Here is a 21,498-nt window from a genome sequence, read left to right as displayed (position 1 = left end):
CCCAGGTTCCAGCAATTCTGCTTCAGCCTCCTGAGTAGCTGGGATTACAGGCGTGCGCCACTATGCCTGGCTAATTTTTGTATGTTTAGTAGAGACAGGATTTCGCCATGGTGGCCAGGCTGGTCTTGAACTCCTGACCTCAGGTAATCTGCCCACCTAAGCCTCCCAAAGTGATGGGATTACAGGTGTGAGCCACCATGCCCGACAAGTTCATTTTTTAAAAGCAGTCCAATGTTGCATCTTATCCTTTTCCCCCTTTAATTTTTATTTCCATTCTACTTCCCCAGGGACTTTATACTAAGATGATACATTTTATGTTTGAAAGTCCAGTGTCCGATTGACCTTTAGTACTTCCCTGCAACAAAAAGTGTGTGTATTGAAATCGGGCATATGGTTATTTCCTTTAATAATAAAGCTCTTAAGTATAGAAGAAATGTTTTTTCAAATTATAATTATTAGAGCACAGTTGATGAAAACAACGAAATAATGTAAATGTTGATATAATTTTCATTTTTGCTTAACATTTATTGGAAATAAATTGTATGGTTTTTTTAAACACGTAAGTGCCCAGAAACCTTGTTTATGTGAGTAAGTAGATGGGAATGATAGTTTTGTTACAGTGTCACTCAGTTATTTGAATTCTTTCCATAATAATGCCAAAAGTATAATTTGTCGTCAGATATGACTTTCCGCAATCTATCAGATGACACTTCCACTAGGACCTCCTTGTGTTTTGTTGAAAGCAGAGAATCAGAAAATGTCTGACTTGTGGAGTCTTTCTCATCCTGACCTCAGAGCTAGGCACTGTGTCAGCACCAGTGTCAATGTTTTAAATTGTCCCCTTGTTCAGTGCCCCTGGGGCAGTGCTGCCTGGTAGCCTTCCAGATGGGAGCGGGGGAGAGGAGGCTGCCTTTGTGAAGTGAGAGGGGGGCAGTGGTGGGGATAGAAGAAGAGAGGCTGCATCCCCTCACAGGAGCGTGTGCCTTCTCAGGCTGATGGATTGTTGGAAAGAGAACATAGGAAAAAAATGTCTTTTGTGTCCATACATCCCATTTTGCGGACTATGGTCTTACACATCTTATATGCCAGGCCCACTTCTGGGCACTGGGAGAGTCAAGGAAACCCACGCCCCCATAGGAGCTGGGCTAGTGGTGTGACGAGGGCTAGCTTAGGAGCTTGGGGCAGGAAACCGGGCTGCATATTGCACTGGAAATTGAATGATGAAAAACTTGCTGTCCTTGCCCTCCAAGGGTTTATCATCTGAGGTCACATAATAAAGCAAAACAGCCCCCCCACCCCCCCGAAAAACAAAAAACCTGCATGAGCTAAAGAAAACCCTCTGCTAGCTCTTGTTATTTAGTGTGTTCATAGAGCAGTTATATTACTCTGGCATACTTTCTATTTTTTTTTTTTGAGATGGAGTCTCCCTCTGTCACCGAGGCTGGAGTGCAGTGGCATGGTCTTGGTTCACTGCAACTTCCGCCTCCTGGGTTCAAGCGATTCTCCTGCCTCAGCCTCCCCAAGTAGGTGGGACTACAGGCATGTACCACCATGCCCAGCTAATTTTTTTTTTTTTTTGTATTTTTAGTAGAGACGAGGTTTCACCATGTTGGCCAGGCTAGTCTCAAACTCGACGTTAGGTGATCCGCCAGCCTCGGCCTCCCAAAGTGCTGGGATTACAGACAGGAGCCACCGTGCCCAGCCTTTTTTTTTTTTTTTTTAGGTGGAGTCTCGCTCTGTCGCCAGGCTGGAGTTCAGTGGCATGATCTCGGCTTACTGCGACCTCTGACTCCCTGGTTCAAGTGATTCTCCTGCCTCAGCCTCCTGAGTAGCTGGGATTACAGGCATGCGCCACCACGCCCAGCTAATTGTTTGTATTTTTAGTAGAGACAGGGTTTCACCATATTGGCCAGGATGGTCTCGATCTCCTAACCTCATGTCCGCCTGCCTCGGCCTCCCAAAGTGCTAGGATTACAGGCATGAGCCGTGCCTGGCCATAAACCATTTTTAGAAGGAGTCAGGCTTTACCAGACTGCCAAAGGGTCCATGGCACAGAAGAGATAAAGAACTGTGCACTCAGTGCTGGCCCCTTCCACATACTACAAATAGTTTCCAGAGTCCAAGATGACAGTTTCAATACAGTGGTTTCATGGAAGGATGCTGCATAGAGTTGGTGTTGGGCACAATGTTACTGGCTTGGTACATGCACCATAGATATTTTGTTTTTGTTTGTTTGAGAGGGAGTTTCACTCTTGTTGCCCAGGCTGGAGTGTAATGGCGCGATCTCAGCTCACTGCAACCTCTGCCTCCCGGGTTGAAGCAATTCTCCTGCCTCAGCCTCCCCAGTAGCTGGGATTACAGGCGTTTGCCACCATGCCCAGCTAATTTTTTGTATTTTTAGTGTAGACGGGGTTTCACTGTGTTGGCCAGGCTGGTCTCAAACTTTTGACCTCAGGTGATCCACCCACCTCGGCCTCCCAAAGTGCTGGGATTACAGGCGTGAGCCACTGTGCCCAGCTCACACCATAGGTATTTTAAATGTTGCATTAGACTCTCAGACCTGTTATTGTCCTGCATTATCCTAAGGATGCTACTATTTCCTGTAATCCCATTTACAGTCAAGTATCAGGGAATCCACCTGGAACCGCCAGGGGGTGTGGTTCCCAAGGGTCATTGACCTTTCTTGCTCCTCCTTTCCATCTGAGGGAGAAAACTTTCATTGCCTCCAGATTGTGTTTCAAAACAATGGAGAATGTTCTTGGTTTTATTACTAAGTAGTCTTGACCTCTAGCTTCGTAGTTATTGATTGGTTTGTTTCTTTAACATCTTGACATTCATTATTTTCTTCCTGGTGTTTTCTTAGGCAGTTGATTCCTCCACACACCAGCTCTCCTGACTTGAAGCTACGGAGATGCATTTAGATCAGGTTTCTTGCATGCTGCTGGCTTTATCTCATTTACAGTATCGCATTTCTGTTGCCATACACTGTAGGATCTGGGCCTCCCCACAGCTTTAGAACAATTAGTAATTGAGCAGGAAGTGTGTTTTTATTACAGTGGCCTTTTGATTTTGATTTTACAATCATGTAGTGTTTAGCAGAGAGCAGAGGTGGGCAAGTGGCTCTCTCAAACACATTTTTGACAGAGAGAAGTCTGTTGTTTCAGCCACTTGGCTATCTGTCAGCGGTTCTCAGACTTCCCCCTTGTGTGGGTTGCCTGGCAACCTGGGGCTGGAGCAATCAAACCGTGGCCAGCGCTTCTCCAGCCCAGACTGGGAGACGATTTACTGGTGGAACTGTAAGTACAGTAAACCCAAGCCTCAGAAATGGACCTTTTTTCTTTTTTAAACCAAGAGTTTATAGAAACCATATCAAGGCAAAAAGAGAGAGAGAGGGAGAATATCAATTAGAGAGTTTTGTTGTAAACATTTTAAATAATAAAATTAGGGCCTGTAATGAGCTTATCATCTATCCAGATATGTATAAGTTAATATTTTTACTTAGTTGGATTATTACCTTTTTTTTTCTTTAACTGTTTTACTGGAACATTCAACATTTTAAAAGTTAGTACTTTTAAACGCTACATTTGAGTACTTGTGATGCTGTCTTTCCACGAAAACCTCAGGCGCAGAGAGTGTTCATGGCTAGCCGGAAGTAAACTGTGAGGCCTTGCTAGAATCAGGCCTTTGAATCAGAGCCCAGCTCTCCTGATGCCTGTGTTCCTGGTTTACTGTAGTGAGCACAAAATGCTGATTGCTCTTTTCCCTATTTTTCAAAATTAGCTGAAAAATCCAGAGACCCATCTATATGGGAAATCCCTATACCTTCTGTTCCGTTTTGCTGTGAACCTGAAATTGCTCTAACAAATAAAGTTTATGAAAACATTTTGAAAATGCAAAGATTCTGCCTTACTATATGCTGTTGTAACAGATGTTTTAGTAGGTCTCCCTCTTCGTATGTATATACATCTTTTTAACTGAAAATTATCCTATATTGATTTTTTTCCTACAGGAGTGAGATCTGGCTGGGCACAGTGGCTCATGCCATAATCCCAACTCTTTGGGAGGCTGAGGCAGCAGGATTGCTTGAAATCAAGAGTTCAAGACCAAGCCTGGGCAACATAGTGAGAACCCCGTCTCTACAAAAAAATATTTTTAAAATTAGCTGGGCATGGTAACTGACACATACCTGTAGTCTGACCTACTTGGGAGGCCGAGCCAGGAGGATCATTTGAGCCCGGAAGCTCCACGTTACAGTGAACTGTGATCATACCACTGTAGCCTAGGTGGCAGAGCAAGACCCTGTCTCTAAAAATAATAATAAATAATAATAAAAGTGAAATCTAACAGCACTTGTTGAGGTTTCTCCTTCATAGCATCTCAAATATCACAAACGAGGATGAAAAGGACTCTATTTCGGGGGACATACTGCATGGGGGTGGGGGGAGCAGAAGTCTCAGCCTGGGTTAGCAGTAATCTGAGCATTTCTTTTTGTAAAATTTTAGAGAAATACTTTGGAACTCAAACTCCCCTCTGCATGCAGCCCATTGTATCCAGCTGTGTATGTAAATGAGCTATTAGTATGTTTGTATTCCTTATAAATATACAGATCTAATCTGTTTGTGTGTGTAATTTACACACAGCTGTGTTCATGCTCCCGTATTACCAATATTGTCAGCAAGAGTGAGGTATCATGGGAGCGCTATTGTTCCAAACAAAAGCCAGCAGCGTAGCCTTGTGGTGGGGCCCATTACCAGCCCCTGATCTTGGGACCCTCCCTTGGGGGACTCTCTTGAAAGTCACAGCCATTCTGCATGGGGATAGCCATCCTGCATGGGGTAGGCGGGAGACCAGAGTGCCTGTAATAGAAAAAAAAAACAATGATCACCTGTTAGACAGGGATCTGCATTATGACTGAGGTTTGGCTTTTGTCATTGAAATGCTTCCTCCACCCCCACCCTGGACTACATTTCCTAAAGGGGTCATTGATTTTCCTTTCTTCTTTGAGATCATTCTTTAAATGAACCGAGTCAAATGAGGAACCCAGTCCCATGTTGTATTGTCAAGAAGGGGAAACAAAATCCAGGAGCCCCTCCTGTATCAGGAGCTGACGGAAGGCCCTGGTGCTGGTCGAGGTCTTCAGTTTCCCTTGTTTGGGAAGTGGGGCAGATCTTAAGAACTTTGGCATTTGGTCGAATTCTTCTAGAAGACAAGTTTTATGTAATTTGAAATAACGGCCCTATGTGGTTTTATTTTAGGAATTTATGATATCGTTGCCCATGATTCTAACAGTATAGTTATTTTGCCTCCCTAATAGAAAACTTGGAGTGCTTTGGATGTTTCAGTATTTTACAAAAAAAGAAGTTAGGATTATTCTAGACCTGTGCTTTCCAATGTGGTAACCACTGGTCTCTTGTGGCTGTTGAGCATCTGCAATGTGCTGGCCCAAGTGTAGATGCACGGTCAGTGTAAAATACACACTGATTTCAAAGACTGAGCAGGAAGAAAAAGAATGTAAAATATTTCATTACTAACTTTTATATTGATTACATGTTGAAATGATAATATTTTTGATCTTTTTAGTTAAATAAAACATTTAAATTAATTTTACCTGTTTCTTTTTAAAGTATGGTTACTAGAAGAGTAAAACTTACATTTTTGGCTTATATTTCTATCGGGCAACCACTGGTCTAGATTCCTTTAATTACAGTTTTTGCAAAATCCTCTCACGGAGGATTTCTACTTTTTTGTTCCCTTGTAACTTCTAGACAATCCACATTTCTTTTTTTAGCTTATTTCTCTTTCCTCCTGTGTTGAGATCTACTTTGCCAAGGAAAGGTGAACATTTTAATGACATAACTTAGGAGCCACTTTACAGGGGCATTTATGTAGCGACTGTAGGGTGATATTGTAGGGAGAGAAGGAGCCTCCCATGCCCATTTGGATTCTGTTATGAGTGTTGGGTTATTTTATTTATTTTTTATTTATTTATTTGAGATTGAGTCTCGCTCTGTCGCCCAGGTTGGAGTGCAGTGGCACAATCTCAGCTCATTGCAACCTCTGTCTCCCGGGTTCAAGCAATTCTCCTGCCTCAGCCTCCCAAGGAGCTGAGATCACAGGCACACGCCACCACGCCTGGCTAATTTTTGTATTTTTAGTAGAGTTGGGGTTTCACCATGTTGACCAGGCTGGTCTCAAACTCCTGACCTCGTGATCTGCCTGCCTCAGCCTCCCAAAGTGCTGGGATTACAGGCATGAGCCAGTGCACCTGGCCGTGTTGGGTTATTTTTAATTTGGGCGTAGCTGTGTGGCCATAATTGGCAAGAGGCATTTGGCTGGCACAATCTCTACATCTGTTAATGCTGCTGCTTAACTAGCCAGTTCTCATTTGACTTGAAAGTGCATTGATGCATGCTTTCTGATATTCACCCAGTGGCAGTACTTTTTGTTGGGCCTGCAATAATGAAAGGACTTCAGTGTACTCAGTGTAATTATCTAGACCCAGAGGGGCACTGACAGAGATGTATATATAGGATAGCTCAATGGGCTGTGCTAGTGGGTGCAGTTGCTGTTTAAACCACAACATGAGGTCATTTTCCCATTGGGCACATGGTCTTTGAATGAAAAATGGAGTAACTTTTATTTGATATTTGAGACCTCCTGGGAAGGGTTTTTGGCATGCAGGTGTGTTGACAAAGGAAATCACTGGCTCTACTCTGGATGCTGAGCTGGCATCACGGAGGGGATGGTGTAGTTCCTCTAGTGGGTTTGAACGAAGAACATCTAATGGTTTTGTCAGTAGTAGTTAGAGAGTTAGAAACTTAACAGTGCAGTGAATATATATTAAGAGACGTTGAGTCAAACTGGAGAACAGGTGATGAGAGGTCAAATAGCCTTGGAGGAACACTAAGCCCAATCATCTCCAGATACATTCTTGTACTGAACCAGTGGTTGTCAAGCACCTGCTATATGTTGTCAAGTGCTGTTCTAGGTGCTGGGGATATAATAGTGAACAAAACAAAGGCCCTTTCCTCATATATTCAGTAACGTAGCCTATATCGTGTTATCTAATCATATCACATATGGTGATAAGAGCTAGGCCTTAAAATGAAGGCAGAGTAAGGTTATAGAGAGGCATGCAAATTGGGGAAGCATCATTGGAAGATTGCTTATTTGTTTGCTTAAATTAATAGTGACTAACAGGTTAAAGTTTTTAGTGGTTTTAGTAATGAATCTTGTATTAGTTGCCTATCGCTATGTAACACGTTACCCCTGATAATAAAAATTAGCCCAATGTAAAGCAATGATGATCATTTATTATCTTTCACAGTTTCTGTGGGACCAGAATTTAGGAATGGCTCCACCGTGCAGGTCTGGCTTAGGCTTTCACGAGGTTGCAGTCAAGTGATAGGAGGTATTGGAATCATCTTGAAGGTTTCTTCACTTATGAGTCTGGGCTAGGAAGACTCAAATGGCTGGGGACTAGAATAGCTAGGGTTTCTGTAGCACCTCTCCATCCCTGATGGTCTCTCCAGCGTGGTGACTTTAGGCAAGCCGGACTGTTTAATCTGGCAGCTCAGGGCTTCAAAGACACGTGTCCAGAGAGGGAGAGCCCAGCAGAAGCTGTGTTGCTTTGTATGATGTAGTCTTAGAAGTCACCTGGTATCATTCTGTCACATTCTGTTGGTCAAGACAGTTACAAAGGTCTACCCAGGCTCAGGAGGAGAGAACAGAGAGACCCACCTGTCAATGAAGGAGTGTCATTATCACATTGTTAGAGCATGTGGGATGGAATCTGTATTGGAGTGGCCACCTCTAGAAAATATAGTTTGTCACAAATGTAAAGATTTTGTGGGTATGTGTGGTTTGATTTGTTGGTTTAATTTCAGTTAAATGATTTATGGTCCTCATCAGTAATATGAGGGTTTCAACCAGCGTAGTTCTCTAAAGCTTCTTTCTAGCTTTCTCATTCTCTGATTCCACCGATAGCGCAGGTGTGGCAGGGTGTGTTGAGCTGGCAGCTGCTCAGCTTCTGTAGACATTTCTGAGCATATCATCAGAAGAGTCAGCTGGGACATTGAGGGGCTGTTGGACTCTTGCTGGCCTCACACACTGAAAGACCTGGCGCTTCAGTCACCCTTTGTGTTATGTTTCTATAGCTAATCTTAACTGGGGGTTGCTAGTGGTGGGGTGATGGAATAAAACAATGATTTAAACCAGGAGCTGTCCATTATCATGATACTCATGAACTGAGGAGGGTAGAACAGCCAGGCAGGATTATATTAGATCTACCTTCCCAAGTGCTCCTTCTCATTCTCTTTGGCCTTTGGAAGATTAGGAAAAAGAGGAAAAGAAAGGAAACAGAAAAGAGAACTCTTTGGTATTACTCCTCTGTGTCAGCTAAACAGCTGCCATATTTGACCCTAGAGAGGACTTCTTTTAGAAATGAATGGGGCCGGGCGCGGTGGCTCACGCCTGTAATCCCAGCACTTTGGGAGGCCGAGGCGGGTGGATCATGAGGTCAGGAGATCGAGACCATCCTGGCTAACAAGGTGAAACCCCGTCTCTACTAAAAATACAAAAAATTAGCCGGGCGCGGTGGCGGGCGCCTGTAGTCCCAGCTACTCGGGAGGCTGAGGCAGGAGAATGGCGTGAACCCGGGAAGCGGAGCTTGCAGTGAGCCGAGATTGCGCCACTGCAGTCCGCAGTCCGACCTGGGCGACAGAGCGAGACTCCGTCTCAAAAAAAAAAAAAAAAAAGAAATGAATGGACTGTTACTCAGAGGGCTTGGATTTGGGATCCTGTTGTAATTACCATAGAATCTTCTGGGACTAGCCTGGGAAACAGGTCTTTTTTGTGTGTGCTGAAACTAGGATTTATTTCAAAGACACATGTCCAGAGAGGGAGAACCAAGTGGAAGTGGTGTTATTAGATATTAAAGGTATTTAAGACAGTTGACAAAACATAGCATGCAAGACAAGATGTCTTTTTGGAAATAGTTGAGTCCTCCTCTTGTCTCTTTGTAGGACCAAGAGGCTACCCTGCTTTACGACTGTTCCATTGTTAAGAGAACCAGGGACATAGAAATTGAGGCTTTGAAGATGGTGGAGGCCTAGACACCCATCTTGCACCCAGGAACACAGTAGTCCTGAGATAGGGCTAGTTACCAGTACGGGGGATGTAGTTATTTAGTTACTGAACCATGCCAGGTTGTTTGTGGGAAAATTTTCCTCATGGATATCCAGCATACAGCATATAATCTCCGACATGTGCTTTTATTTCAAGAGTTTAAGTTTGGGTATATGTATATGTATATGTGTATATATATGTAAACTTTCCTTTAAAGTATCTTAAGAAGTACCTTAAGAAGTATCACACCCTTTATTCCTCTGAGATGAATAGATATAAAACAGTGTTTTCTGCACTGAGAGTCCAAGTAATCAATCCCATTTTAAAATATGATTTACTTCTCCATTCTTCTTGGAAAAAAAGAAACAAATCTAACATTGATTAGAAATTTTGTTTCCATCCTACCAAACATGTATTATGTTTCAGGGAGAACTCTAGGACCAAAAACAATACCCATGCAGCCACCCAACAGTTATCATATTGCTTGGTTACAGTTTGCCAGGCACTCTGAAGATTACACAAGACATGAAATACTCACCTCTTGCTGGAAAGGAATCCACAATTTGGTGGAAGATCTATAGACCTTTTAATGGCAGAAGTGCTTATTAATTCTAGTCATAAACAGGAATTGTTGTTTTTCAGAGAAGGGAGAGAGAGCAGAGCGGACTCTGTGTAGGGATAGAGTTGAAACTGGAACATGCTTCGCACAGTGCCTCGTGCTGTGCTCCTTGTTCACTCAGTGCCTCGTGCTGTGCTCCTTGTTCACTCAGTGCCTCGTGCTGTGCTCTTTGCACAGTGTGTTCACTAGAATGAGGGCTCAATGAATGTTAGTTGAGTTGATGTGTTTGAATAAGCAGAAGTGAAGAGGGGACATTCTAGATTGGGTAAGAGAGAAAGGCATTGGTAAAAACCCAGGGAAAGGAATCAGGATGGGGTACTGCAGTAACTAACTTCACTACATGGTGGTGTAGGTGATTGGGAACCCAATTGTGGAGGCTGTTAACTAACTAGCAGACCGATAGTTTGGACGTACTAGGAATTGTCACAGGTCTTCAAATAAGAGAACACATTAATATACAGAATGCCCAGAACTGGAATGTTGGGGGGAGGGGTGTGGAGACACACTGAGGCCAGGGAGGAGACCAGTGCAGTCACTGGCATGACGTGGCCCTGTAGTTGGCAGAGCCCTTGCAAAAACCGAGGAGCATGCCGAACAGGAAACTCCATGAAGTGAAGAATGAATCTAGAGGGCATGGTGACTGATGGAAGGAGTGGGAATGGACAGAGAGCACGCCAGGCACTTCTTCTAGAACTCTGCTGCAGCTGACAGAAATAGGGCCACAGGGAGCTAAGAGAGGGCAAGCTGGCTTGGGGAGAGAGAAGCGGGGGAGATTTGAGGTGCTAGGCCCATGAGGTTAATTTTAAACTTTATAAAGTGAAAAAAGTTACAGTAAGCTAAGGTTAATTTATTATTGAAGAAAGGAAACATTTTAAATGTTTAGGTTAATTAAGTAAACAGTGTTTATAAGACTACAGTGGTATACAGCAGAGGTCCCCAACCTTTTTGGAACCAGGGACCAGCTTTGTGGAAGACAGCTTTTCCATGGGCTGAGGGGAAGGATGGTTTCAGGATGATTCAAGCGCATTACATTTATTGTGCACTTTATTTCTATTATTATTACATTGTAATATGTAATGAATTAATTATACAACTCCCTATAATGTAGAATCAGTAGGAGCCCTGAGCTTGTTTTCCTGCAACTGGACAGTCCCACCTGAGGGTGATGGAAAACAGTGACAGATCATCAGACATTAGATTCTCAAAAGAAGCACGCAACCCAGATCCCTCACATGCGCAGTTCACAATAGGATTCGTGGTCCTATGAAAATCTAATGCCGCTGCTGATGTGACAGGAGGTAGAGCTCAGGCGGTAATGCAAGCCAGGGGGAGCATCTGTAAATACAGATGAAGCTTTGCTCACTTGCCTGCCGCTCACTTCCTGCTTTGTGGCCCAGTTCCTAACAGGCTGGTAGTGGTTTGTACCCTGGGGACTGGAGACCCCCGTCTTAAGGTATATGCAGGAAGAAGTTTTACTTGTGCCAGTAGTAACGTAAGGGTAATAAGCCTGCACCTCAGTTGGTATTTGGAAGACAAAGGAATGCCTGGAGGGGCCTACCCAGTGTGGCTCTGGGTCACCCTATGGCATCTACGGACTTTAATGGCATGAGTTAATACACAGAAGTACTTAGCAGCTCACACGCACTCTGTTACCATTGGCATGGCTTTTGTTGTTAGAACTGGACTTGAATCCTGGCCCTGATGATGATTAGATGTGGATGGGCCAGGAGATTTAATTTACCTAACCTTTAGTTTATCTGTAGAATGGGCCCGGTTACACTTACCTTGGAGAGTGTACTGTGGCAATTAGCATACTTGTGCCACTACCACTACCACTTCCACTCTGCACAGAAGCCTGAAGGCCTTGGGGAGCTCAAGAAACACTGAACTATTTCAGTCAGTTCTCTGGGTTCATGAGTTGCTACTTGAGGAGGATGTGGCCTGTGGGCTGTCAGTGCCCAAGTTGGGATGGTGATGTCCTAAAACTATGGAGGACGTTAGTCTGAATAGAAAGTGTAGGTACAAGTCTGAGCTAGGGCAAAATGTCAGATCTGGAGAGAGATTTGAGAACCATCAATAAAAATGGGATGATTATTTTAAATTATCCCATTTGCTGCCTTTAAACTCTAACTAGTTTCATTAAACTATTAACTGGCTCTCCTGGAATAACACTAGTAAGTGCAAAGTGTTTTTAAAGTGGAGGCAGAAATTGGGAGCAGCCTATACTGGAAATTTTGGAAATGCCCCTCATGGCTTGCTGGCAGGTCTCCTCCCAGGCAAATTGGTTCTGTTGCTATTTATTGAAAAAGTAGTGCCTTACTCAAGTCACCCTTTCATTAAAATGTTAAATATGTAAAACCAAAACCAAATGATACATCTCAAAGCAGTATCAACAGTAAAGCTCCAGAAGGAAATATGTTTTAGATATGGGGTGACGGGATCTGCAACCAACAGGATGATATGGATGAAGTACAGTTCTCATCCAGTGGTTTATCAGTGAGAGCCAGCATCATGTAATACAAATGTTTGGAAAGGCTTTTATTTCTTCTGCCTGGCATCCATGTTCCCTTTTTTCACCCTACCCCTCCTTACCATTTAACATTTAGGACATGTCTTTTTCGTCTGCTGCTCTGTGTCTTCAGTGGAGCCATGGGTCTGTTCCTCTTACCCACTGCCTGTGTGTCTCCTCGGGGGAGCTGTAGTTTGCTTACTAGCAGATCTGCCTGCTTTTCTGTCCCCTGTGAACCAATAAATTATTAACATAAAATTTTGTGCAGAAATCAGGGTAAAACAGAAGGAGCCATTTTCACAGTGGGAATCATTTTAATACCTACAGTGTTTTCCAAACAGTTATGTAAGAGGACTGAGTAGATGTCCCTTTTCAGAAGTCATGGTGAGTTTCTGACTGTGATACACTAGTTAAAATTCACCAGAGGGAGTTAATTTTGAAAGCTCTCAGCCAGGGGTTAATGCAGAGGTATCTTTTAGCCATTTTTGTAGCTTAGCCCCTGTCTTCTGCTCTCTTGCTACTGCAGATAGGGGTCAGGTCCAGCACCTGGGATGACGCCAGAATGAGATGTGCTGGGAGTTTCATGTGTAGATGAGGGGAATTTGCACACCTTACCCTTTCAGGGTTTACTCTCAGCCCAGTATTCTCTATCCACACATAGAATTTTTGGGAAACAATATCTTGGGATGCAAACACAGGCAGCAGCCACATCATCACATCCCTTGTCTGCACCCTCGGCTCCATTCCTAGGCCCACCACAGCTCTGAGGCTTCCCAATTTTTTACACTGGTCCCCCTTGACCCTCCCAGCCTGGTTCAAGGATTTAGTGATACATGGTTACTTTTCCCACCTAAAAGATGGGAATAGCAGTAGCCTCTGCCTCATAAGGTTGTTGTGATGATTAAATGAGCTAGTGCATTAGAGCCTTTAAGACAGTGGCTGGCACGTTATAGCGCTCAGTGTTCACCATTTTTATTGTTCTAGGGTGGTGTTTCCCTGCCTTTCTCATACCATGACGCATGTAAAAATCAATGCCGTTTGTACTCATCAGTAGGTTAATGGTGATGCTACTTGCACCAGGTCCACGTGCCATCCCAAAGGTGGAGAGGTGAGGACCAGTATCTAGGCAGACCAGTGAGGCTGAGGCACAAGGCTTGGGGGACTATGACAGGGGGTGGGCTCAAGCAATAGCATGAGGAACTTTTGAACACATTAATTTAATGCATTTTGACGTGGTTATTTTTATTTTTATGTTATTGTTATTTTTATTCCAATATAGCTGTTTCTAAAGTGGCTAGGTCTAAACAGCCATGTCAGAATTTCCTTTTTGGAACATAGGAGCAGACTAGATCACATGGCTTCCAAGTCTGAACCTTGCGTTCTTTCCACTGTAGCGAAAATGCAAAACAGAGCTTTCCAGGTTCTATTAAAACCCAAGGCTAGTAATGCTGGGTTCAGGTAACTTACTTTTTTAAAGCCAGAAGTTAAATTTTCTCTACTAGGGACTTGTAGGTAGGTAACTTTTGATGGTGATACGAAATTCAGCTCAATAGTGGAAAACTATAGCAGTTTATCTAAAAATTAGAGCACAAAATCATAAACGTAAGTTGTAACACAAAGCAACAATCTCCTTGCCATAAATATTTATTTATATTTGGATCTCACCTGGCTATGGGGGTACACAAACAGAAAAGGACTTGTTTTATGTTTCCAAGGAGCAGCACCTAGTTGGGTTGGTTGGGCATGAACACACCAGAGAAACAAGTGCCAACATCTCAAGACGCTCAGTTCGTGCGTCTGAGAGTGGGCAGGCTATGAGCTGGGGAGCATAAACAGCAGAGCTGCCCAGCGCTGGCAGCAGTGGCCAAGTCAGTGACTTGCCTTCTATATTTCCTTCCTCCTTTACCCTTGGCATCCTGCTATTCTAATATCTATACACTGGGAGTGATAGAAAAACTAATGGACACAGAAATAATTCATGAGACCTTGAATTTCAGCACTGGAAATGCCGAATTTCAGCTCAACAACTAGAAGACTCTTAAGAAACAGACTGTCTCCATGAACTTGCATTTAGAGGCTTATAGGGCCTGTTGATTTATAAGTCAATAGTGTTAATTGTTAAAGTCTTAAAAACTTCGGGGTCTTCATTTGAAGAGCGATGAATTTATAGAGGGAAAGGAGACAGCCGCAACAGAAGTCTCTTTCACGTGTGACCCCTTCCAATCATTGACTACTGTGAGTGGTCGTCTTTGTTTCGATTTTCAGGGCTACTCTACATTTCTGGTAAACCACAAGCTAAAGGCTGGTCTCTGAGAAGCAGATGTTTTGCTGGTTTTGAGGCCTTGTGGCTTTCCATAGAGAAGTAACAGTACAGGCCACATGAAGCTTTTACTTCCTTTTTTTTTTTTTTTTTTTTTTAAAGTGGGGCCAAGGGTGCTTTTGCTCTTGATAGCATTATATTGACATACATTGACAGCTGTGGTAGGTCTGTGTTCACCACCAGATGTCAAATTCCTATTTCTGGAAGTAATTAGTTTGAGATACCTGTGAAACGTTCAAGTTGAGTGTTCCCAGTGGACTTGGACCATAGATTTAGTCTTAGAAATACCAGTGACAATCTCGAAAGATATTTAGAGCCAAGGGAACAGTGGAGATCATATGGGGAGAGGATATATATAGCAGAAAGCCCTAGGACAAAGCTTTGGGGAGACTCCAGCATTTAGAGGTTGAGTAGAGAATTAGGCCAAGTGGTATGAGCAAAACTAGGAGAGTTTGGCATCATGGAGCAAGAGGTCAGCTCTGTTAGGAGAGTTCAAAATGGACCTTCTGGCTTTCAACAGTCCATTTCCACTGTGACCACCCTAGCCCAGGCCCTCAGCATCTCATGGTTGGTTTCACTTGTCCGGGTGCGGTGACTCACACCTGTAATCTCAACACTTTGGGAGGTCAAAGCGGGAGGATTGCTTGAGGCCAGGAGTTTGAGACCAGCCTGGGCAATATAGTGAGACCTCATCGTTAATAAATAAATAATTTTTAAAGGAGACAAAAAATGTGGTGAGCATCAACTGCCTAGTGTTATATGGAGGCACTAGGTGTAAGATGTAATTATTTTAAGAGTTTATGGACTTTTTGGGTAAGCAGGCCTTATACAAATAAATAAACTAATGAGAGAGTAACTGGACATCTGGTTTCATTTGGGAGTAGGAGAGATTTTGAGGTGAACGTGGAGATGCCTTACCCAGATTCTGGAGTTGAGACAGAGGTCCCCCAGTGTGGGCCAGTTGGCATTACTGGACATCTGGCTGGAAAGGTGGGCAGGGCCAGGATCCTGGAGGGCCTTGAATTCAGGGCTAAGGAGTGTAAACACTGTCCTGCAGAGACCACCATGCTGTTCTTAGGTAGGGGCTAAGGGCCAGATAAAGTGGGACTCAGGATGAAATCTATAGTTGGGAAAAATTCCTTGGCAGAGGCTTTTAAATGGCTGGATGGGGGAGATGGTTAATAGCCTAGTTATTAGGAAAGAGAGATAAAGGTCTGGCCTGGGACTGCCACTAGCATGAGCAGGAAAGGAGGGCGTTGAAAGACACTTTTTTTTTTTTTTTTTTTGAGACAGAGTCTCTGTCGCCCAGGCTGGAGTGCAGTGGCGCAATTTCGGCTCACTGCAAGCTGCGCCTCCCGGGTTGACGCCATTCTCCTGCCTCAGCCTCCCCAGTAGCTGGGACTACAGGCGCCCACCACCATGCCCAGCTAATTTTTTGTATTTTTAGTAGAGACGGGGTTTCACTGTGTTAGCCAGGATGGTCTCGATCTCCTGGCCTTGTGGTCTGCCCGCCTCAGCCTCCCAAAGTGCTAGGATTACAGGCATGAGCCACCGCGCCCGGCTGAAAGACACTTCTTAGGAAGAATACTGAGGACTTTATGATTTGACATTGGACCCGAGAAGAGGAAAGTACAGACTCATAGAAAATGGTAACAGAAAATAGTTACCACTGTAGACGCCTGCCTGCATTTTACAGAGTGTGGCTCTGAGGATTTGAGGGGGCTTAAGTTTGAATTCTGGCTTTGTCTCTGAGGAGTTGATCTAGTTACCTATCTGTGCCTCAGCTTCCTTGTCTGTAAAATGGGGATAATAATTGTACTTCTTCTTAGGTTGTAAAGATTTCGAATTAATATATATGAGGCTCCTGGCATATAGTAGGTACTTAGTAACTATTGGTTGAATGGATGATGTTCAAAGGATTGCATCACAATAAATGGAAGAAACAGGATCTGAATTTGTTTGTCCAACTCTGCCACCTTACCCTGATGTTCCAGAGTCAGCCTTTCTCACATGCTGCCTTTATTGTGTAGGCCTCTTTTACTGGACCTGTTAGATGTCACTTGGTATCAAGCCCACGTTCCGATTGCATGGTCCTGGCGTTCCACAGCCTGGCTCACTCCAGATTGCCCGCCCCAAGTCTGTGTAGACTGTCCCCTGTAACCCACCTCCCATTCTCCACCTCTGACCTTCACGGAGGGCCCGGTCACCAAGCCACCTCCCACCCCTGCAATAGTTGCCCACCCCTTGTGATCTCGCTGATGTCACTGCCTTGGCGAAGGCATTCTGAACTACTACAGACCACTGCAGTCTAGCCTTCTTGGGTCCCTTGCTGCACTGATGAGCTGCACCTCACTTCTTTATGCTTGGCCAGATGACATCTCAGAATGTTCTGTAATGACTTCACACATACTTATCTTACGTGCAAAAATGAATCACAGTTCAGTAAAGGTCCATGGCAACCTTTATTATCTTCCTAGACCCCTCTCAGCTAGGTGCTCAGTAAATACCTGAATACTTGAAGAATGGATTAAGCGGCAGGAATTCTGATTACTGAGGTGGAGTGTGCCAGTAGTTGAGGTCCTCATCTCATACCTGAACTGTGTCAGCAGCCTCTTTAACTGGTCTGTCCCTAATCTACACTTAGGCCACACTGCCACTGGCACAGTCCTCATCCAGTCTTTTCATGGAAAGCTCCAGCTTCAGCCTTTCTGCCAGCCTACAATTAGGAACTCTTCCGTGCGGCCTGAAGGGCTCTCTGCAACCGGATCCTTGCCTGCCTCTTTCGTCTTATCTGCTGGCACTCCATTCTGCACACCCTGTCCTCCTTGCAGTTCCCAGAATGTTCCCTGTGCCTTTTCCTGGCTGACTTCTGCTGGAAGCCCTGCTGGAGCCCACCTGGCAGGCTCACACTCTTCCTTGTCACTTCCTCTAAGACATCAGCAAGCAGAGTAAGTTGCTTCCTCTTCCTAGCTTCACCCACCACCCTTTGTTCCTCTGCTGCTTTTCTTGCAGGCCCTAGGACTGGTTTGTTTACCTGTCTGCCTTCCTGGGCAGACTGCAGCTCCTTGAGGGCAGGGCCATCTTTCCGTGCCGTCTCTCCCGGTGATATGCTGTGTGCACACAGCGTAGGATGCCTGTTGATCATATAAACGATACTTTTGTCAAGTAACAAAGGTCACTCCTCACACTAGAGGAGAGCTTGCTGCTTTCTTGTGCCTTGAGAGATTTTCCCTTCGAACTGTATGAATTATATTGAAAATTGACAATGATGAGTCATATCTCAGCAAGGGTGAAATTCAAAAACGCAAAGCCTCCACTACTGGAGTAGGAGGTTGCAGACTGGTCTTAAAAGGCTAAGTCTGGCCCTTCACTGAATCCGCCTGGCGGGTCTCAAACACAGGGAGTGGGAGGGACCCTCTGCCCGGTGGGCAGGTGATTTATTGGCTGGGAAGCTTCCGCGGTGATTTAGTTGTGAAGCGGCGGCCGGGGAAGTGCAGGCTAATGCCTGGGCCGCCAGGGAGAGGCCGCCCACAATCGCGGGCCGGAAGGGACCGCGGGGGGCGTCGGGGCCAGCCCCCCGTTTCGCAGCTGAGGCGGGGTTGGGGCGGAGGGCGTGCGGCCGGGGCGCAGCCGACTTCGTCCATCCGGAACGTGGGCTGGAGACCCAGCAGCCTGGGAAGGGCCCCAGCCCTGTGGGCGCCCTCTCCCCACGCTTGCTGCGGTAGGGAGGAAGTTTCTGTGCTTTACCGCCTTGATGTTCTCCTGTCCGGAAGGAGGACACAGATTCCAGCGCCGGGTGCCCTGGAGGCTCCGGCCTCGGGGTGGGGGTCGGGCCGGGGGCGGGGCCGGGGCCGGGGCGCGGGGCCCCGGCTGGCGGACAGGAGGGCGGCGGCAATCCAGGCCGCCTTTTGCAGCCGCCCGCGGCCGCGCCGGGCTCTGCGCGCCGCGCTCCTGCCTCCTCCCCCGTCAGCGGCGGCCCCAGCCCCGCGCCCCCCGGGCCCCGCGCCGCGCGGCCCCGCCGCGGTCACACGCCGAGCCACCCGCGGCCGCCTCCGCCCTGCGCTTTGTGGAGCCGGAGCCCAGTGACAGGCGACGGCCTCTTGCCGCCCCGGACCCCGGGCGCTTACCTGTGGCTGCTGGGGTCGGCCGCCCGGGACCAGGCTGGGAGCCCCGAGGTGGGGGCTCGGAGCCAGGAGCTGCCCCCACCGGGGCGGGGAGGGGTGCTCGGGAGGCATGGGACAAAGTGAAAGTCTCCGGGCTGGGGTTAGGGACGAGTCTGCTGCGAAAATGGATGGGGGCGGCGAGTGGCGTCGGGAGGGCGGAAGGGGTGCTGGTTATTCTCTGGTGTCTCGGAGTGGCTTTTAATGACGGACGGTGGGGCAGGCCCGCTGGCTTTCGTGTTCCCGGTGGGCTTCTGTGATACTGGTGCCTTCCGGTGCCTCCTGGCAAATTCTTTGGATTAAGGAAAGCGGCCTTTTAACCCCCTAGGGTTCCCTTCTGGAGAAGAGTCACCGGGTTTGGTTCTGTTTCCCCTTTCTGCTCGACACTTCTGGGAAGCTTGGTTCTCAGGTGGGAAAGCAGTTGTGTTTTATTAAAACATGGAGCATATTTATACCTTCGTGCACCAGAATGTGTGCCTGGTGGAAGAGGGGGACAGATTGCTTCTTAGCCTCAGACGCAGGACGTCCTTCTCTTAAACGCGCTGCCCTGCGTGGTGGGTGGGATTGGGGTTCTGATGAAGGTAGCTGGGGCCTGCCCTGGCCAGTGGGTCCCAGCTGAGCTGCTGACATACTCTCCGAGCCTCGGCAGTATTCCCTAGCCGAGACTTTTTTTGTGGTTGTTATTCTGCTGATTGTAGATATCTTTGCTTTGCTGACATCCTGTTTTGTTTTTGGTTTTTACATCCCATTTGTTTCTTTTTATCACAGAAACGCTTCGTTAAGGGACTCAGGCAGTACGGGAAGAACTTCTTCAGAATTAGAAAGGAGCTGCTTCCCAATAAGGAAACAGTGAGTACAATTGGACTTTATGTAACTTGATTTTTTCCTCTTTGCTCCTGCTGCCTCTCCACATTTGATCTTATGAAATGGTTTCCTTTAACCCTGCGCTGTGCTCAGACTCGGGCTGGCCTCCAGAATTCTCTCCGTTTTACTCCCTTGACTTTTAATTTGAGTTCATAATTTTTAGATAGTAAAGTGACAGATTATGCTTATCCGCCTGGAGAACATAGACTTCTGTTGTAACTCTGAGAACAGAAAGGTCTTTGGGAACAGAGGGTTAGTTGTGGGGGAAGGATTGTTGGAGAGTTAACATCAAATTTTAAACATAGTGGCTGGAATAGGAAATAGCATTTTATCACTAGTTTGAATTTGGTAATTGGCAGAAATCATCAACCAAACCAGAGGTTTGTGGCTTATTATACTTTGAGTTCTGGGGGATTTTTTCCATTTTTCAATGTTGCTCTGTTTTGAAGAGGAGTTTTAACTCTTTAATATTCTATCCCTGAGAGTTTGCACTTTCCACTGGACAGATGTACAAGGGGATCTTATAAATTGCTTAAATGGAGCTTTACAAAAAACTACTTAGTATTTCACAAAGCTGGGGGTCAGAGCTGACAAATGTGCCCGATAAACGTGAGGTAGAAGGATTTGCTGAGGAAAATACAGAGTGAAATTATATGAAGAGAATGCGGGGAAGGGATTCATTCTCATTTCCCTGTGGTTGCCTCCCTCCTCATCTCCTTCCCTGGTGGTGTAGAGGCAGATGGGGAGAGAGTCTTCCCTCTGGCTAGGCCACGGGATAGGGCAGATGGGATGGAGTTGGAGCAGCCACTCCACTGTCTGAAGGCGAAGGGAGGACTCATTAACCAGAAACACTCTTCAGGACTTTGGGAGGAGTGATCCATGTTTAATCTGCCTAGACATTGAGCTGCTTTTTTAGGGAGTGGAGGTGGGAGATGGATGCAAGAATATCTACTATAAAAGTATGCGGATAATTTGGGTTTTTTGGCTTAATTTTTTAATTGGATGTTGTTTACTGATTTCCTCTTGTTTAATTCTGTCTTTTTAAAAATGAGCTGTTTTTCTGGACACTTACTGTATAGTACCTCAAGGACAGTGATAACTCATGGGGAAGAAGGGTTTTGTGATTTCAAGTATAGTCTTGTATATATAAATGGATGATTTGCATCAGTCAATGACAATTAAATTTAAGTATTACGCATCTCATATGCTAGGATGGATCATATTGAGAATGGTAAAAAACAGAGAGAGAGAAACCTGTTTATGAACATTAAACTAAGATGTATTATGATGCCAATCTATATAATCAACTTATTTCTTACCCTTCCCAGAACAGGGTAGAGTTATTTAATATGGAATATTGAGATACATATTTTAAGTTTTCTGGGGATTTCAGTGACTTGAAGTTTGATATGATTAAAAATTAAAATGCCTTTGCCCGAGTGTAGGAAGTTTGGTTTGGCTGAGTAAAAAAGAGATCAGTGAGTAGATTTCTCCTGATCGCTCAGATTGTAGCCTCTCAAGTTCTCTGTCTCTGCTCTGCTAAAAGTTGCAAACCATGAAGAATTTGATACAGAACTATCTTGACAATTATTTTATCTTTCAGTTTTAAAAAATAAATTCATAATTGGAAGATTAAGCATTAAATCTAAATTCTACCATCTGGCATTTGGAAATGCTCGGTAATTTTACTTAGTGTTTTATCTCCGTAGTGGAAGCAGATGTGAGTAACCTTTAACCTAGTTAAGTTCTTCTACTATGTTTTTCTTTTTGCTCTTGATTTTCCCTTCTTATTGATGATGTGTGACTCCGTAAATAAATAGCCTTTTTTCTCCTTCAGAGGCATTCTCAGTACACCAACCTTTTGAGCTAGTTCTCTGGTTGTCTTTTCCACTAGCCTCTT

At 45.1% G+C, this 21,498-nt stretch overlaps 1 protein-coding gene and 1 long non-coding RNA gene across 4 annotated transcripts in view, besides 3 other annotated features; one reads left to right on the top strand and one right to left on the bottom strand.

Moving 5' to 3' along the window:
• Nucleotides 1–21,498, top strand: part of RERE (arginine-glutamic acid dipeptide repeats) — a 465,237-nt gene that overhangs the window by 375,331 nt on the left and 68,408 nt on the right. For 2 of the 3 annotated variants that reach the window (NM_001042681.2, NM_012102.4), the window contains one exon: nucleotides 19,503–19,583. In NM_001042681.2, the coding sequence (NP_001036146.1) occupies nucleotides 19,503–19,583 (81 nt within the window). Of the gene's footprint in view, nucleotides 1–18,477; nucleotides 18,750–19,502; nucleotides 19,584–21,498 lie in introns of those variants that run through there. The other variant, NM_001042682.2, reaches the window with a different exon arrangement.
• Nucleotides 7,294–17,665, bottom strand: RERE-AS1 (RERE antisense RNA 1). Its single transcript, NR_125999.1, has 4 exons — nucleotides 17,609–17,665; nucleotides 13,722–13,828; nucleotides 12,338–12,483; nucleotides 7,294–7,677 (listed from the first exon to the last, which is right to left on the bottom strand). It is a non-coding gene; the product is annotated as an RERE antisense RNA 1 (long non-coding RNA).
• Nucleotides 14,308–14,547: an enhancer, noted in NCBI's record as "active region_103". NCBI's record gives its function as "activates an Ori minimal core promoter by ATAC-STARR-seq in GM12878 lymphoblastoid cells {active_cell/tissue: GM12878}" and the evidence as "EXISTENCE:reporter gene assay evidence [ECO:0000049][PMID:35858748]".
• Nucleotides 18,076–18,215: a silencer, noted in NCBI's record as "silent region_196". NCBI's record gives its function as "represses an Ori minimal core promoter by ATAC-STARR-seq in GM12878 lymphoblastoid cells {active_cell/tissue: GM12878}" and the evidence as "EXISTENCE:reporter gene assay evidence [ECO:0000049][PMID:35858748]".
• Nucleotides 18,526–18,865: a silencer, noted in NCBI's record as "silent region_195". NCBI's record gives its function as "represses an Ori minimal core promoter by ATAC-STARR-seq in GM12878 lymphoblastoid cells {active_cell/tissue: GM12878}" and the evidence as "EXISTENCE:reporter gene assay evidence [ECO:0000049][PMID:35858748]".

Source organism: Homo sapiens, chromosome 1, assembly GCF_000001405.40.
Source record: "Homo sapiens chromosome 1, GRCh38.p14 Primary Assembly".
Taxonomy (NCBI): domain Eukaryota; kingdom Metazoa; phylum Chordata; class Mammalia; order Primates; family Hominidae; genus Homo; species Homo sapiens.
This window is presented reverse-complemented; position numbering and strand designations above follow the sequence as displayed.